Consider the following 18,330-nt stretch of genomic DNA (forward strand, 5'->3'; position numbering starts at 1 on the left):
AAGAGGTAAAAGTTCCTAGCTGTTTGCATTTCCCAGAAATAATGTTTTCCATGTGTAGGGATTTTACAGATTTCAAAGTGCTTTCATGTCAATTACTTTCTTTAATTTAAAAGAAGTTCAGATACCAGGTCAAGCTAGGAATGATCCGGTCTCAGAGGGAAGGAGCGCTCTAGGAAAGGAGGATCCTTTAATAGAGGGCCGTCCTGGGGCCGCGTGCCCATGGAAGGCGAGAGTGGAGGAGTGTCCTCTTTCTCCCCCACCCTCAGGCGGCGGCCCGGCCAAAGCCAGAGGGGGCTGTCTCCTCCTCTTCCCCAGCAGCTGCTGCTCGCTCAGCTCACAAGCCAAGGCCAGGGGACAGGGCGGCAGCGACTCCTCTGGCTCCCGAGAAGTGGATCCGGTCGCGGCCACTACGATGCCGGGAGCCGCCGGGGTCCTCCTCCTTCTGCTGCTCTCCGGAGGCCTCGGGGGCGTACAGGCGCAGCGGCCGCAGCAGCAGCGGCAGTCACAGGCACATCAGCAAAGAGGTACAGTCGAGGCATGGGCTTGGGTTGCATCCTTTGCCGGGACCGAGATTCCTCACTTCTTCCACTCTTCCGAGAGTTGCTGTCTGTGGACTGCCGTCTTGCTTCGCCTTCAGAGAGTGCGCTCTGGGGCAAGAGGAACTTGAAGCAAGTTCAAGTTCAATGCCATGAGAGCGTAGTGTAGGGGGAATTACCTAAGTCCTGCAAAAGGAACGGGGAGTGCTTTTCATTGTTCTTTAGTTTCGAAGAGGTCTTGCTATCACGATACATCCCGTAAATTGATTTCTGAAATCTTTCCAAGAGGAAAACTTTTTCCAATTGGAAAAAAAAGAATTTCTTCAAATCAGAGCCCATCCTGCAGAGAAAGGCTTCCCAAGCTGTGTGGTTCATCCTGGGACTTTATGGAGGGTAGCTGATGCATCAAAAAAAAATTATATATATATATATACACACACACACACACACACACACACACACACACATATATATATATATAAAGTTTTACAGAACTTTGTTTTCAACTTTTAAAACAGGATTTCTAAAGAAGTTATGTGGTTTTTTTTCTTTCATGGCAATGGCGCCTCCAGCCTCACCTTTTTCAAACCCACATCTTATCTTCATATCCTATTTTATTGTAGTGAAATCGTGAAATTTCTCCTTTTGCTTAAATACAGAGGAGACTTCTATGTCATGTGTACTTTAAGGCCACAGTGACTAGATATACACTTTGGAGGACTTTGGAAGATGGCTGTATTTAATGTAACTTAAATAACTTATTCTCCTCAGAGCCTCTTAGTGTTTATGTATATATAGCTCTCATTTCTGAAACTTTGGGGAGTCTTTGAAGAGTTATTTTATTATCATGAATTTTACAGGAAGCACATGTGCAGCATTGTAAGACATACTTTGTAACACATTATTTCAGCAAACAATTCTTTAAGTTGGAAAACCTGTATCAAAGTAAAAAAAAAAGAAATATTTATTATTCGGTTTTAAATATGAAAATGTTTAACCTAAGAGTACAAAATCTGTAGGTTAGAAGCTTTTAAAAGTTTTAATGAGGCTGAATCTGCTTAAGTTTTGAAGTATACTTATCCTTCTTCCAGTTAACTTCTAGCCAAGTCAATAGTTCTGATATTTGTTCTTATAATCTAGCATTTTTAGCAGTACTATTTTTTAAGGAGTAAAGAGATATCCCAAGCTCTTTCTATAATAATAACTCCCTGATTAAAATTCTTGGAATAAAAATGACCTTGCATTCACTATATAACTTTTTTCCTTCTATTTTTGCTTTTGCTTCTCTGAGAGGTAAAATGGGGCCAATATGACTTAATTAATATAATTTACGAGAGTGATTTTAAGAGTATCTCTGGCCACTTATTTTTAAAAATTCTACTTTTAACTATTAAACTTTGCTCAATTACAAGGTGTGTTTAAACAAGACATAATACTTTAATAATGTTAGGCAGCTGGGAGAAATGAGGGGCCAGGGGCACCAATCCTTATGTCCACTTGGAATGGGGCAGAAACTCAAAGCATGCAGAGTAAGGATCAAGTAAATTGTTGCTAAGAATTATCCTGAACACACACAGGATTTCTCTTTTTTCCTCTCCCTTCTTATTTACTCTCTTTTCAAATAAGGTAATATTAACTCTGATTTCTATGACCCAGGCACAAGATGAAGTGAATTCAGGAGGAAGGGTTTATACTACCATTCTGTCAAGATACCACTTAAATGCTACATACAATAAGGAATTTTATTCAAAATAGCTACAACATACAATCTACTATAGGCTGCTATAATCTGCATTCTAGTATATATTATTGTCTTTGTCATAGACCATTTACAATATATCTGGAGGTTGGCTCAAGGATAAATGACTTAAACCTGTTAATGTTGAAAGTATGTAAAATTCATGAAACTTTAAAATTGGATAGTGATTTATGATTTAAAAATGCCTTATGTACACGATCTTTATTCACCTTCAGATATTATTATTCTCAAAGGACAAATTTAGAACTTAGGCTTCCAGTAGTTGTAATTTAAGTTTACATAATAATAACTTTATTTCAACAACTAAAACACTTCCGGTATTGTTTGTGCTGAATTCCCTTTTTTATGGTTCCAAGGTTTCTTTCCATTAATTGTTTAGGCCATGTTTTCTTTTTAGTGTTGTTCCATTGAAGCAAGCCCTCTGTGAAAATCACGGGATATGAGTTTGACTGGAGAAGGGTTTTCCTGGCTATGATCAACTTTTCTGTTTTCGATTATACTAGCACTGACCTTTCTAGGCAAGCGCTAATTGTGTAGAAGTTCTATTTCCCCTTATAATTCGATACCACTTTATTAAGAATTTTTGACATGAATCAACCATTTTTAGATGTTGCAGTTGAGTTAGAAACATAACCAGACTTTTTGTTTTTTACTTTTTCTTTGAAATCTTATGTGGTTTCTATAGCATACTCGATTGTAGTATGAATAGCATTGATTCAGCAAGAATGATATTCCAAGGAAATTCTTTAGCTATATTTAAAATTGACGAAATAGAATGATGCAATCAAAATGATTCTGCATTTCAGCAAGGCAGTGTCTAAAATGTTTTCTGATATTCTTGTGAATAATATGTGGAAACTGAAGCATAATGGCAGGTAAATTGCAACTGATTGAAAAATAGTTCACAAAGAATATTGCATAGTGGATTAAGGTCAATCCGGAAAGAAGTCTCTAGCAGTGCAACAGAGGTTTTCTTATACTCAACTATCTTGGTAATGGCTTGATGGAAAATGTAAAATCCAAGCTTATCAGAACTGCATGTGGTCCAAAATTGATAGAGGTGGCTAAGCTGGTTACTAACAAGTTCAGAAATTTTAAAGGTCTCTATAGCCTTGACCATGAATGGCACCTACATGAAGTTGCTTTTATTATTCATATCCACATGTTAAAAAAAAAAAGTCCATTTGTGCTCTTCTGGAAATTAGTTACATTGTTTATATGTTTAGGAATGAATATGAAGACAGGAAGAGAAAGGCCACTCTGAATTGCAGCAAGTTCGATATGAACATATAGTGTAATATGGTGACAAAAAAGGTTGGCTCACTTTTACACAAAACTCATAGAAGCACATAGGTCTGTTGCTTAACACACATTTGGGTATTTCATTGACAAATGGGTGTAGATGCAGAGAAGGGAGAGCAGAATGGTTAAGAGTCTGAGAAGATTTTCAGAAGAGGAATGTCCCAAGTAAAATCTTTCCATCTGAACAAGGAAAGATTTAGGGAAGGCAATCATAAGGACTGTCCTCAAATTTTCAGAAGAGTCGTTATGTTAAAGAGGGACTATTCTAAAGGCTGAAGGTGGATCCATAGAAGAACATGACAAACAACCAGGTTTGAATTTTATAATATGGAGAAAATAGCTCCTCTCCTCACTTCCTCCCCATGCCATTTTGAGTTGTTCAGAAATAGCTGAATTGTGTTTGAGCAACTTGCTTCTGGAAATGACCATGCAGTGATCAGATGTACAGTTAGTGAGGGATGCTTTATGAGGGAATGCCTCTACTGAGAGGAAGTTAAGACTCATCAACTGTCTAGCCATTTGTCAGTTCTAAGATTCTAATATTATAGTCTATTGCTTTTAGAGTGCATACTTGCATTTAAATTTCTGAATTCTTAAAATGTCAAGAAAATGTTAAATATATAAAAATGTGTTTTTAAATCCCTTCTGGGATTTAAAATAAAAACATGTTTGAGACAATCCTCACACATTTTTGGCAAGAATACTTAGATATTTAGCATGGATTTTCCACATCATCGTCAATTGCACAGTTCTAAAACATCTTGTGTTATAACACGCAAGAATACTTTATAAATTACCTGAGAAATTTTCAGGGGATTCATAGTGGCCATAAACCTGGAATTAATTTTTTTAAATATTTTTCTTTGCTGCATATGTTAACTTTTTGGCTTGTTTGCCATATACTGACCTAATCATTTAGTAAAAATGATTCATAACAGATAAAATGCATGGCATTTCAACATATTCAAAATATTTATATGAACATATTCAACACTGAATATTATAGATGTGATAGAATTAATAAAATTTATATAAATTTTATATTATGTTATATTTCACATATCAATGTGTACAGATTTCTGGTCTATCTTAAGATTTTTCTACCCTAGGATTTCATGCAAACTAATGAACTGAATCTATATCAAGGGATGCTGGGGGCTGGGCAAGGTGGCTCACTCCTGTAATCGCAGCACTTTGGGAGGCCTAGGTGGGTGGATCACCTTAGGTCAGGAGTTCAAGACCAGCCTGACCAACATAACGGAAACCGTGTCTCTACTAAAAATACAAAAATTAGCCAGGCGTGGTGGCATGTGCCTGTAATCCCAGCTACTCAGGAGGCTGAGGCAGGAGAATCACTTGAACCCTGGAGGCAGAGGTTGCAGTGAGCCGAGATCGTGTCATTGCACTCCAGCCTGGGCAACAGAGGGAGACTCTATCTCAAACAAAACAAAACAAAACAAAACAAAAATTTAAAAAGATTTGCAACTTATCATCTATCCAGTTTGCAGTAGGGCCTTATTTAGCATCTAGAAACCATGTGAAAAAGATCAGGAAGAAATTATTGTAAATAATTATTGTAAATGGTTGCACAAGTGGTTTAACTTCTAATCTAGAAGATTCGGGTTTAGGATTTGTTTACAGTTGCAACTTGAGCCTCGATAGCTAAACAGGAATTTAGGCAGAAGCTCCGTTTCAGTAAATGAGAAAACAAGACAGAGTTTAGAGAAAGATAAAAGTAGATTTTCCAGGCTTAGTATATACCAAGCAGATAGAAATAAAACTAATTCTAGGCTTTCCCCATTGGTAAGACTGAATTTAGAGGTCAGAAGTTGTGAAGGAAATTGGTGGGGTTGGGCCTATATGCATTGGAATGTGGTAAATGAATGAATGTTTACAGTGAGTAAAGAAGATAAAAAAATTCCTGCTCTTGTGGAACTAATATTTAGTTGGGATGGAGATGAGCAGACAGGACTATGATGAATATATGATGAAGCAACAAAAGAACACCTATATTGTATAAAATGTAGTTGATGAAAAATGTCCTGGACAAACAAATACAACGGGGTAAGGACAGTCAGGAGTTCTAGGAATGGAGGGAGGTTGATGGCTATTTTGTTGGTAAAGGTTGGTAAAGGTTGACCTCTTTGAGAGGATCTCACTTTGGCAAACACTTGAAGATGACGTGGGAGTGATTTGTGCAGTTATCAGGGGGAAGAGTACTCTCTGTACAGGGAGCAGGCCTATGAGGATCTAAGCTTGGAGCATGGTGAGAAGGCTCAGAGGAGAAATGGGAAACTGGAACACATAGCATTGTTGACCTTAATTTTAAAGATTTTGCCTTTTTGTCTGAGTGAGATGAGGAGGCATCGGTGAGTTTTAACAGAGTTAAATAAATGAATAAAATCACAGGTTTTTTTGTCTCAAATACGCACTAATCCATGGGACTAGACCAACAGTCCAAGCATAGAATTATTTTAGATTTATCTCTTGTCCCAAACACTCCACTGATAGAACACATTTAAGTGATTCTACATTCAAGAGCATTCCACTTCAACCATCTTATCATGGTGAAGCTCAGATGTGTCTTTGTAACACTCTTTTCTTCCCTTTGGCAACTCAGTGCTATTCCATTATTCAAAATATATCAGTACCTCAGAAACAATTTGTGTGCAGGGAACTTCCGCAGCTTTTAAAAATTTTGCTCCAGTGTAGTTAGAAATATGACAGATTTTTAAGGGTAATTTTAAATAGTATGCACTTTAAAACAAAAATGAATTATTCACAATCCCACATGGACATATAGGTACTTTGGAGTTCCCTTTTTTATTATCTATTTCAATCTCAGACGCTAAAGTTTAGACACAATTGTTGAAAATGACATAGTGATGTATTGATCTGATGATTTCTTTTATGATATGAAATTTGAAATGCTACCTGTTTTACATTCAGAAACTTATTCTATGTTCTGTTTCCATTTTTGTTACTGTTTTAAGAATCACTTGTAAGCTTTAACAATAACGTTTTGGACTATAGTAATGCAATTTTGGCCTAATTTAATTCTGTCATTTAGAACAAAAAAGGTAAAAAAATTGGATAGCTTTTCCTTCTCTCTCCCTCTCTTCTCTTTCTCCCTTCCTTTCTTCCTTCCTCCCTTTCTTTATTTTCCTTTTCCCTTAGTATTCTTCCTGTGAATAAAATAAGGTAATTAAAATAGATAATTCTAACAAATATAACATTTAGGAAGATAGTAAGGCAAAACTTTACTTAAATCTTCCTTATTAAAAGCCACAGGTAATTACTATCTAAAGATAGTTTGAGACATATTTTCAGGGTGAGTTAAAGCTAAAGACATTTGCTTGTCAAAGATGTATAATATGGGTTTAAAAATGTTTTTCTCCTAAGTAATCTTGAGTGTGGATCTTAATATGGGAACTTTATGCTATTTGGATTTTATTTGGACACGTGACATTTACAAAAGATCATTGAGGATTGCCTATTAATGGGTTATTATTCATAATATCGGCCTCTGTGACATGCCTAATCTAGTTCAAACAACAAGTTAATCTATGCAAATTCCTGATGATGAAAACCTCAGGAGCTATTTAGTGCCTGGCACTTAGGAAATGTACCTTGTGCAATGTTAAGTATGTCTCTGTATGTGTAGTCCACTCAACTGACCCCCGAACTGTGTACCTCCCCAAGGCTCTTCATTTAGCTGCGTCTTGAGTGCCAGATGGTTTAGATTGGTATAATAATATGTAGTGCATTGTGAGCATTAACACATTTACTTACGTAGCAGAGCTGTTTAGTAGATTAATATAATTATCCTCAGTTTGTAGAAGGAAAATATGCCCAGCAACTTGTCAAGGACAAACAAAAATTCCAATGCTTATTTTAGAATTAGAAATTAAATTACGGTCCTGCTCTTGACTTTGTAGATGCTAACTATCACCTCTTTTGGACTTTTATATATTTATCTTTCATAAAATACCCTGAGGAAAAAAAAATCCATTTCTAAGTTATGTTAGTCTATCATATCCAGAGATTCATTTGGTATTATGGAAGAACAAAAAATAAAATGTGTAGTCTTGAAGGGTCTTTTTCATTTAAATACACACACACACACACACACACACACATGCTGCTTATTACTATGTAGACATATACACACATGTATTACTTAAAACTATGCATTAATTCAAATGCATTCATCAAATTTTAGTGTTTACATTCTTGGAACTTTGATTACTGGACACTAGGCTATAAGAAAATATTAATTGATTCTTTATTGGCTTTTCTGAAGTAACTTTACAGAAGTTACTTCAGCAAGCTAGAAACAACGGTATTTATTATACTGTATAATGAACCCTTTAAGAATAGTCAATGTGTAAATGTCAGTGAATGAAAAGAACAAGAACCAAACAGATATACCTAAGAATCAGAGCAAGATTAATCTCAAAATTCCTTCTGAAAAGATGAAAAACCTTGACATCTTCATAAAAACATTTAAAGACTTTCATTTGAAGTTGAACTCAGTTAAGACAAAAGTCTTCCAATCTCCCAGATTTTGAGAGGGTGTATTTGTGTATGTATGTGATTGCAGCACCAGTGCACATGTACCATTTACAGCCTAGCACTCACAGGACCTAATTTGTATATTTAGTATGTTTTCTGTTTGATTTTTGTTGTCTTAAGGTATTAGATTTTGTTTATCAAAATCTTTGAATAAGAAAATCTAAAAATTGAATTTCTAGAAAACTCTAGTTGCCTTGACAAATGATTATGGACCAAAGAATAAATTATAAATGAGACAATTATAATATTCCATCCAGTAGCTATACTGTTAAAATTCCAAGGTATAATCCCTTTCGAGTTGCTTGTAACTTAGAAGGTCCTATTCTATAGAAGAAATAGAGTTAGTAGAGTTTGCTGCATCAAATATATTTTTTCAAATGCCTACATATTATAGTTGACACAATTTCCTGGCTTTATTGCCTTCTGTGCAATTTTCAATTATTGGATGAGGCTGAAAGTTTGAAAGAGAATATGAAGCAGTGCAATTGTCATTTCAGTGAGCTACCTCATCTCATTGGTTTGTCGTGGTACATATGTAAAACACTGAATATAAAACATGAAACATCTAGTAAGGCCTCAATAAATGTTCATTTTCAAAATGCCTCAAAAAATGAATTAAACCTAACAACCTAACATGACATTCTCTGGCTGAAAGAAACACTCTTCTCCAACATCATGTGGTATACCAAATTCAGTTGAGACTGTTTGTGAAGGAAGGAATTTGCTTATATACTTAAACACACAAGTATTTGAATTCTAATTAGAATTTGTGCTGCAGTATTTCTTTATTCTCAACTTTATAGCTTAGCCTACAATAAAAACTCTTATCAATACGTACCTCTTTATACCTTTAGTTTCCACATACAGTACTCTTCTTTGGAGGTAACTGAATCGTAGAAAACGTATGGACTTAGGAGAAGGCTAGACTCGGATCCATAGCCAAGTCACCACTTTACTAAGATCAAAAGCCTGAGTCAACGGAGTTAAATTTTCTATTCGTAAGATAGGTTTAGGTTAGATAATAAATGTGAAAATACTTGCCAGCTAATCAGTAAATACTAGCTCTTTTCTTCTTTATTTTATGAGCATAAAACTAAAAAAAAAGATTTGCTTTGCATATAGCATATCCTTTTTGCTTAAGAACAGCAAAATATTCTAAAAATTTCTTTGAGGAGACCCTAAGAGACTATAGATGGCAAACTATTTATCTCATTGCCAAGAGATTGAATAATTCTGTCGAGGTTACACAGCAAGTCAGTAACAGAGATAAGAAGAAACACAAGTTCCTATAATTAGCTAACAGTTATGTTAGTAGCTCTGTGTGAGAAGTGATTTAAAACAGGCAACATGATGGAAATTTTTGCAATAATTTGTAGTTATTCATACTTCAAATGTGGTACAATAAACGTTTTTTCTAGGAATCTCATTGTTGAATATGTATTTATTTTGTTGATAAACTATTTTTTAAAAACTTCTTTAATACTTATAATATGTTTAGATAAATATATGGCATATAGTAAGCACTTCATAAAGGTTAGTTATTATTCTTAGTCTATGAAGTATATGTTTTCATTGACATCTGCTTGGGTAGAGATGACAATGTGGCGTGTTTGACACACAATGTAAGTTAATTTCAGCATGGCCTTCAGTGGAAAGTCTAATTGGATTGCAGAAAATCTCTCAATATAGATTGTCTTTATTTGGACTCTCCCTAATTACTATAGTAAAAAAAATTCTTGGAATACATTATTTAATACAACTCTGGATAGGGAGGATTCTTAGTGTGTCTACTTGTGTATTAAATTTTTAGTGTGTCTATTTTGTATTAAATCTACTATTAAAAAAACCACCAAAAAACAAAACCAAAAAACCTACTTCAGAAAATCATATAGTACTCTAACAAATCTCTAGAGAAAACTGCTTTTCTAAACTTGGGAACGCTGGATTTTGAAAATATTTCAGACAAAACACTTCTTAAAGGCCCGTTTACCATCAAAAAGTTTCAATCTTGCCTAACACATAATGTGCAAATATTCATTTTTTCATTCTGATACATTAGAAAAGTCACTGGATTTGTAATTGGAATTCCAAAATATAAATTTTCCCTCTAGCTCTTCCTAAAGAGATTACCTTAAACATGGATAAGTCACTTAACTATTCTGAAATTCAATTTTCCATCTAAAAAATGACAATGTAATGTTCGAATCTATTTCATGGGGTTGTTATAAGGGTTAAATAAGGCAGACCATACAAATACCATTATTAATACTATTTGTTATTATAATAAATGACAGAGTTGGTCTTAGGCATCATTGGTTATGAAGTTTTGCTCCACCCCCTTTCTTTGTTTTTTTTCCCCAGTGGCTCCTAACCATTTGTTATTAATTAATAATGTTATGTATTAATATACATATATGTATTAATAATGTTGTTAATAATGTTATGTATTAATATACTTAGTTCTCCTGTTTTCAAGGACCCATGACACATAGCTTTCAAACATGGCACAAATTATTTGTTTAGTAAACATATACATACTACTGCATAAGAAGAAAATATGGTATCTGAAAGTGTACATCAGCTTCCTACAAACAAGTAGCAAAGAGTAAGTATTCAGTGAAATTATAAAACTATCATAAAAATAGCCTAAGGGCTCTGAAACATTCTATGTCAAGATTCCTTTTTATCCTCTTAAAAATAATTGAAACTTTGATTTATGGTATATCTACTATTTGATTGTATTAAAATTAAAATTGGGAAATTTAAAAATGTTTACTAATTAATTTAAAATACCAGTAATAAAACAATTACATGTTGACAAAAAGAACATAACTTTATGAAAAATAATTTTATATCCAAAATAAAACTCTTCAATGTCTGGCTTAATAGAAGAGAACTGGATTCTCATTTCTGCCTCTGCGTTCAAATTATTACATGTTATTTTAGTTTAAATTATTTTGGTTTAAGCATATTAAGAAATATATAACAACAAACATAGATAAGCTATTGGAAAAAAGAGGAGTCTGTCAGTGCCTTTTAAGATAGCTGTAAATATTCTTTGATTCTATACCAAAACTCAGTAAGTGGTAGTTTTCAAAAGATTGGCTGCAGTGTGGTATCTGAAACTGCATCAACGATATTTTTGTACGCTTTTATATTAAAATCTACGGATCTATCTTACACCTGGAAAGAATTTTACCCATGTGTGATGTTATAGTATCATTCATAGATCATTTGGAAGATACTGATTTACTAGTTATGCAGATCAGCCACAACTTGACAGATTTTCTTATAAAATATTTTAATTACATTTTTTATGACTATTGATCTCACCAGAAAAGTCCCTAAATATTAGAAGCTGTTAATCTCACAATGGTAGAGACAAATTTTTCAGAATTTTTATTTTCATTTGTAAGTTTCTGTAGTTATTGACAAATTTTGTTATTTTTCTTGAAATAGTTACTTTATTCATTCTTAAGAAAATGTTTATCAAACAAATGAGTCTTAAAAACCATAGTTAGATCCTTTTTGTAGTACATAGGGTATTCCACGAAAAAAGTGGCTAGTTTAGCTTGCAGCTGAAAACAACTGTACAAATGCTTTTCCTCAAATCAACCATCATGCTTCAGTATACAGTTGATGTTAAAAAGATGTACCCAAGATTTAATAAATTTAATCATTGTTACTACTTCATCAAGTACATTCATCTGTGAAACTAGTTGTTTTTTTCTTCTGGGAGTGTGTGGTGGTGAAAACTAAACTGACCACTAGCATGGTTTAGTACCCCTGCCTTGATTTGTGCTAATGTACCATCAGTGTTTCCCACCACTATTGCTTTTGCACCATCAGTGCACATGTCAACACAATGAAAAGGCAGATAATAATTAAATCTTGTTACTAAAAGGATTTTTGAACTTGTGTACCTATGGATAATGTATTGTGGACTCCCAGGGATTCACAGATCTTTCTTTGAGCTCTACAGGGTTGGACTACAGTTAAGTTCCTCACTGCCTGCCTCTTCACCAATTCTACAAAATCTATAGCCATATGAAGGTAAATTTTGCAATCAGAAAAAGCCAAAACCACTTCAGTTTTTACCTCAGGTCTAGTCTAGGAGAGTGATACCATTTCTTTTTAAGGGGGAAGAAATCCAGAAAAGCTTCTTCTGTGGAAAAAGCAGGAAGTGTTAAAACCAGCCAGACATACATATAGAAATCAAAATCTCTGCCATATCATCTGCCCTTCTTAATTTCCTTTCACTTGCCCAAACTATAGTAGAGATAGTGTACTTACCCACAGTTGGACATATGATGTTATTCCTAATAGACTTAAAAAGTGAACTCATGGCGGGGCGCGGTGGCTCACGCCTGTAATCCCAGCACTTTGGGAGGCCGGGGCGGGTGGATCACGAGGTCAGGAGATCGAGACCATCCTGGCTAACATGGTGAAACCCTGTCTCTACTAAAAAAAAAAAAAAAAAAAAAAAGCAAAAATTAGCCGGGCGTGGTGGCGGGCGCTTGTAGTGCCAGGTACTCTGGAGGCTGAGGCAGGAGAATGGCGTGAATCCGGGAGGAGGAGCTTGCAGTGAGCCGAGATTGCGCCACTGCACTCCAGCTTGGGCAACAGAGCGAGACTCCGTGAACTCATGAGCAAGGTTTAGTACAAAGGAAACATACTAATATCTGTAATTCTGAATATTAGCAGAAGAGATTTTTATTCCTTGCTGAGCTCCTGAACTCACATCAGGAGGGGTCCTTTGTTCTTTTCATAGAAAGAATTCCTGTTGGAAGCACTGGATATCGTATTTCTCAAAATATGGAATTTCCTTCATTTATTTCTAGCCTTTGAAGTTTTGTGATTTCTAAAGCATTTAAAAGGTTTTGTAATGTTGAGAACCTAAAACGTGATTCTTTTCTCTGTGCCCATCTCATACCATTGTATGTGTGTCATATGATGGATCTGGTTTCTTTTTCTTATTTGTTGGGAGATGTCCAGAGACTCAAGGATCTATCCTTTGACCAAATTTTTCACTCTTCAAGGGCCTCATACTGCTCTGATTTCAGATGTATAGATATATTGCTTATCAAACACTGATGGGTCTGAACATGAGTGGTAGTAAGATATTTCCAGATTAAGTAGACAAATTGTGCAGAACTTTTTAGTATCACTATTTAAATGACTAAATTTTTGAGGTTTATGTGTATCCAGCCCAATATGTCCTCTCCTTATCTAGTATAATTTATCTTTAAAAATTAGACTGGCTTGGCATATGTCAGATTTTGTATTTAACAGACTTTTTATATATTTCTTTGTTAGGAGGTGTTCAATGTTAGACAAAGTGAACAGATTACTTTGGAATCCATGTCCTGGTCCTGCTGAATAACATGTCCTCACCCTCCTTCCATTTTTTTTTTTTTCTGCCATACACATTCCAGTAACACTGAAAGAGTTAATTGATGTGTCCCATCTTTATTGCTTTTGTAAATAGCTATAGATACACTTTATATGTAGATAATGGTATGTTTTAAAATTCTGCAAAAATAGCTTTTCAATTCTCTTTATTCTCTTTCTCAAGCTTTGATAAAATATTTTTCATTCAACTTTTAGGGACTGATTTTCTCCATAGAGTTCCTGATGTGGTGCTACTGGAGTGATGCTGAGAAAACATTATTCTAAATGTTTTTTAGAAACATTTTTTAGAAAACATCATTCACCCAGAATCTGAAATTTTATCTTTATTTATTTATTCCTTTGGATAAAACATTGCCCTCACAGGCTATTCTTTTCTAAAATGTTTGCTGTGCTGTTATTATTCACTTTAATGGAAATTAATTTATCTGCTGACCTCCTTTTTGACAGTTTAGGACTGTATTAAGTTTTCAGATCTGCTCGGTGAGAAATAGTGAAATAAAACTAGTTAACATCTATGGAATACCTAACTATGGGCCAGCACTGCTGTAAGCATGTCTCATGCCTTAATTTATCAAAGGTAGATGCTATTAATCTCATTTAACAGAAGAGAAAACTGAAATGCAAAATGTTAAGTAACTTTCCAAAAGTAAAACAACCAGTGAACTGGTAGAGACCAAGATTTGGACCTAGGTAGTTCTACTTTGTGGCCCATTCACCTACCCATGGCAGCGTGTGACCTCAACCCTGAAAGAGTACAAATTAGTAAGTAAAGGGCTTCCTTTAGTGACATACTTCAGAGGTGATTTTATTTCCCTTTTTTGTGAGATTTCCTATGAAAAGATTAACAATTTAAACAATATTTGCCATTTAGATTCAGCACTATGTCCTGATATATCAGAAGAGTCTATGAACTTTTTTTTTTTAAAGACTCCTTGGAGATAGCAATGAATGAATTCTTAACTGTGTCAGGCATGCCTGAATTTTTTGAGTCATATAAGAGTTTGTAGCACTCCTAGAATTGTTAACTTAATTGGTAAGAATGTGCTTTTTTTCTCTTTGTTGTTGTATGAAGTGTTAAACCAAAAATAATCAAGGCCCAGGGCTTTTCCTGGTCCATTAATGGATATATGACAAGTGATGGCAAAAGGATAGTTACAGTTATTAACTTAATCATTAATTGGCTCAGGGTATCCCCAAAACCGCAGTTGGAACTGAAGTGCTACAAAAATGACCATTTTGTTGTTATAGCTTTTCTTCACATAAGGAAATAAATAAGCAAAAAGAGGGAGTGTCTTATCTATTTGTTGATCAAAGATCTTGTAATTCTGCTTATGGTAACTCCCAGAGTAGAGAATATCATCCAGTTGGCCCCCTTTATGAACTTGGATTGCAATGGAAGTCCTATCGGCCAGTTTACTAGTTAACAGGAGCTGTAGTACTAGAGCTATGACTGCATCAGAAGTCCAGCAGTGTGGGCACAAAGCAGCGCAGCACTTTTGAAGTTAGACATCGAGAGTTTGAGTCCTAGATTCACACCTTGCTGGCTGAGTGCTGTTGCAATAGTGCTGTTGAGTGAGTTATTTAACTTCTTTAAACCTGATCATCCTCACCTTTAAGAGAATGAAAATAGTAGTGCCTTTTTAAGGATTAAATGGAATTAAGTATTTAATTTGTATTCAGAAGAGGATGGAATCATCATTCAAAGACTTTACAATCAGTGGTGTTTTCAGCATGGACAACTGGAGCTTTAACTTAAAAGATCTAGAAACTGGGCTTGTTGGCCACAGTTTTAGTGTGATTAGAGGTGGTCATAGGGTAGTCAAAGTTGCCACTATCCTGGTTATGGATGGTAATAGAACTGCCTATTTATTTGATGTCTTCACTTAGTTGTCTCCTAGGTCCTTCACAGCGAACATTTGCCAGGATTGAACATAGGTACTCTGCATTTCCTCAACTCTTTTCCCATCAGCTTTTCCCAACTCAGAAAATGGTACCATCATTCACCCCTTGAATCAAATTTGACATCTAGAAGTTACTATTAACTTCTCTCTTTCCTTCACCTCCCAGATTGAAATAATCAGCATGTCTGTCATCCACACCACCAGAGTTTATTCCATAAATATCCACATCTTTTTGTCCCTATTGCCTTCTAGACCACAGCACTCTTTTTTTGCCTATGCAACTTCAGCAGCCTCCCAGCTGCTCTCCCTTCTTTTCTCTTTTCCATTTTACAATCAATTTTCCATGCAATAGGCAAAGTGAACTCTGAAAATAGTAAATCAGATTAGATCTTTCCTCTGCTTAAAACCTTTCAATGCATTTCTATTATAAGAATAAATTCTAAATTCATTAGATTTTAAGTCTATTCATGACAGCTCTTGTATTTTTCTCTGATTTCAAATTATTCTCTTTTTCTGTTATTTACCAGCAACAGTAAAGACTTTTTTTCCGTCTCAAGGCCTTTGTCCTTGCTGTTCCTCTGTCCAGAGCATTGTTCCATTAGATCCCTGATGGCTGTCTCCTTCTCAATATTCCAATCTCATGTCAAATGTCACCTCTTACAGAGGCCTTTCCAGAGGACCACTTTAAATTAGCTTCTGTCAGGCACTCATCTCCCTGTTGTAATTTCTTTGAACAATTAAATGTTTATCTTGAATACCCTTGTTTATTTACTTTTCTTCTTTGTTGTTTGTCTCCCCAGACTGTTGGAATATAAATTTTGTTATAAAATGGCCTTCATCTCCAGAGCTGAGGAGATACATAAATATTTTTTATTTTGAATTAACACATGGCTGTGTTCAGGCTCTTCTGAATGTAATTCCATGGAGGAGGTCAAAATTGGATTCCTGTATGTAGTGAATCTGTCCCGTTTATGATTTTCAGTTATATAATTAGTTAGAAGACCAATCCAATCATATTTCAGATAAACCTCAAGAGCAATTGCTATGGCAGAGAACTAGAAGGGTATTTAATCAACTAGTTCCTTTTCCAAGATCTTTAGCTCTTTAACAGTTATAAATTAATAAAGTATGTTATATAATGCTAGGACTTTTTGTCTTTCATTGTTTCTGTTGCTTTATCTCCAGCTTCTAGTCTGACATATGGTAGGCACTCAAAAATTGGATGAAGAAGCAGCTCTTTTTGGACAGACCAAGAGTGTTGCCTTTTAAAACATTTTATGTGTACTTTTTCCCCCTGATCCTTTTATAGTATGAATGAATGTTTGTATAAGACATAAATTTCTACAAATACTGAAACACAGTATGGACAGATATGAGTTATTATTATTAATATCACCTAGATAATAGATAAAATATTTTAGAAAGTGAGGCTACCTTAAATTATCTTGCTTCTTGAGTTTTTTTTTTCCCCTCTAAGGATATTCCAGTAAGAGTTGAGCAGTATTTAAGCTTTGGATAAGGAATGCATATTTCTTGGCTTAGTCAGAACTTTTCTGGATGGAAGGTCTTTTTGGATGAGAATTATACTACATAAGATTAAAATGCCCATTTAAGATGTAAATTATAGGGATAAAATATAGATAACTCACATGGGGTGATTTGATTGGCATCTGTTTTCATTTTTCTTTGTTTCTTTTTAGATACCACCAAAGTCCTTCCTATTTCAGGCAAAAAGATATGTTTTAAAAACCACTCACAAGGCCTCTACAATATGTCAGATAATGCATGTGCGTGAATGTCCTTGGATGTGTATGGTCTCTTGCTTGAAGTTATCAGCCAGCAAAATGGTGAAATACTTAGAATTAATCAAACATCTGGAGGTCAAGAAACGCAGTACCTATATTCTTCTCCTTACTTTAAGAATGAAACTAATAAAAAATAAGGCGGAGCTGGCCCTTCAGCAAAGGAGGGATTTTTATTATATGAGTGAATTTGAGAGAAAGGGGGACAAGAAAAGACCTTTGAGATCAGGGCCCAGGTCTGTTTTGTTACTACTGTATCCTTACTGCATAGCACAGTGCCTGGCACCTAGCATGGTCACAGTAAAGATTGAATGATAGAAAAATAGAAAAGGAAGAGCTAACTTTTAGGAAGGAACACTTACTTCCCACTTACAGTTATTGAAAAAACTATGAAGATGGTTAACATCATGATACTGTCGGATGTAGGCAGTTACAATTTCTACTCAACGATAGAAAAAAGAACTAAAGAGAATTTACCAGGACATGAAAGAAAGGTGTAAGATCATGGATTCCTGAAACAGGATGTTCCAATTAAATATTTAAATTTAAGTGAGGATTGTAGGAGTTTAACAGCTATTTAAAATACGCCCTGCTGCTTTCCTTCCTAGGTTCTCCACACCTTCAAAGCTCATCACTTGGATAAGATTGCCTCTTTACTTTTTCCAAATCAATCTGGTTCATCCATTTTTTGCAAAAATGAAAACTCCCCTCTTTCACTAAGGTATTTGAGCCATCAAGAACACCCTCCTGTCTAGGCATGGTGGCTCACAGCTATAATCCCAGCTCTTTGGAAGGCCAAGGCAGGAGGATGGCTTGAGGCCAGGAGTTCAAGACCAGCTTAGGCAAAATAGTGAGATCCCTGCCTCTACAAAAATAAAATGAAAAAATTAGCTGCGTGTGGTGGCACATGCCAGTGGTCCCAGCTACTCAGGAGGCTGAGATGGGAAGATTACTTGAACCCGGGAGGTCGAGGCTGCAGTGACCCATGATCACACCACTGCACTTTAGCCTGGGCAACAGAGCAAGACCTTATCTAGGAACAA

At 35.2% G+C, this 18,330-nt stretch overlaps 1 protein-coding gene across 2 annotated transcripts in view; it reads left to right on the plus strand.

Moving 5' to 3' along the window:
• LAMA2 (laminin subunit alpha 2) overlaps window positions 305-18,330 on the plus strand; it is a 633,429-nt gene continuing 615,403 nt past the window's right edge. For both annotated transcript variants that reach the window (NM_000426.4, NM_001079823.2), the window contains exon 1: window positions 305-524. In NM_000426.4, coding sequence (NP_000417.3) covers window positions 413-524 — 112 coding nt within the window. In that variant the 5' untranslated portion in view covers window positions 305-412. The remainder of the gene's footprint in view (window positions 525-18,330) is intronic.

The sequence above is a fragment of the Homo sapiens genome, chromosome 6 (assembly GCF_000001405.40).
Source record: "Homo sapiens chromosome 6, GRCh38.p14 Primary Assembly".
Classification (NCBI taxonomy): domain Eukaryota; kingdom Metazoa; phylum Chordata; class Mammalia; order Primates; family Hominidae; genus Homo; species Homo sapiens.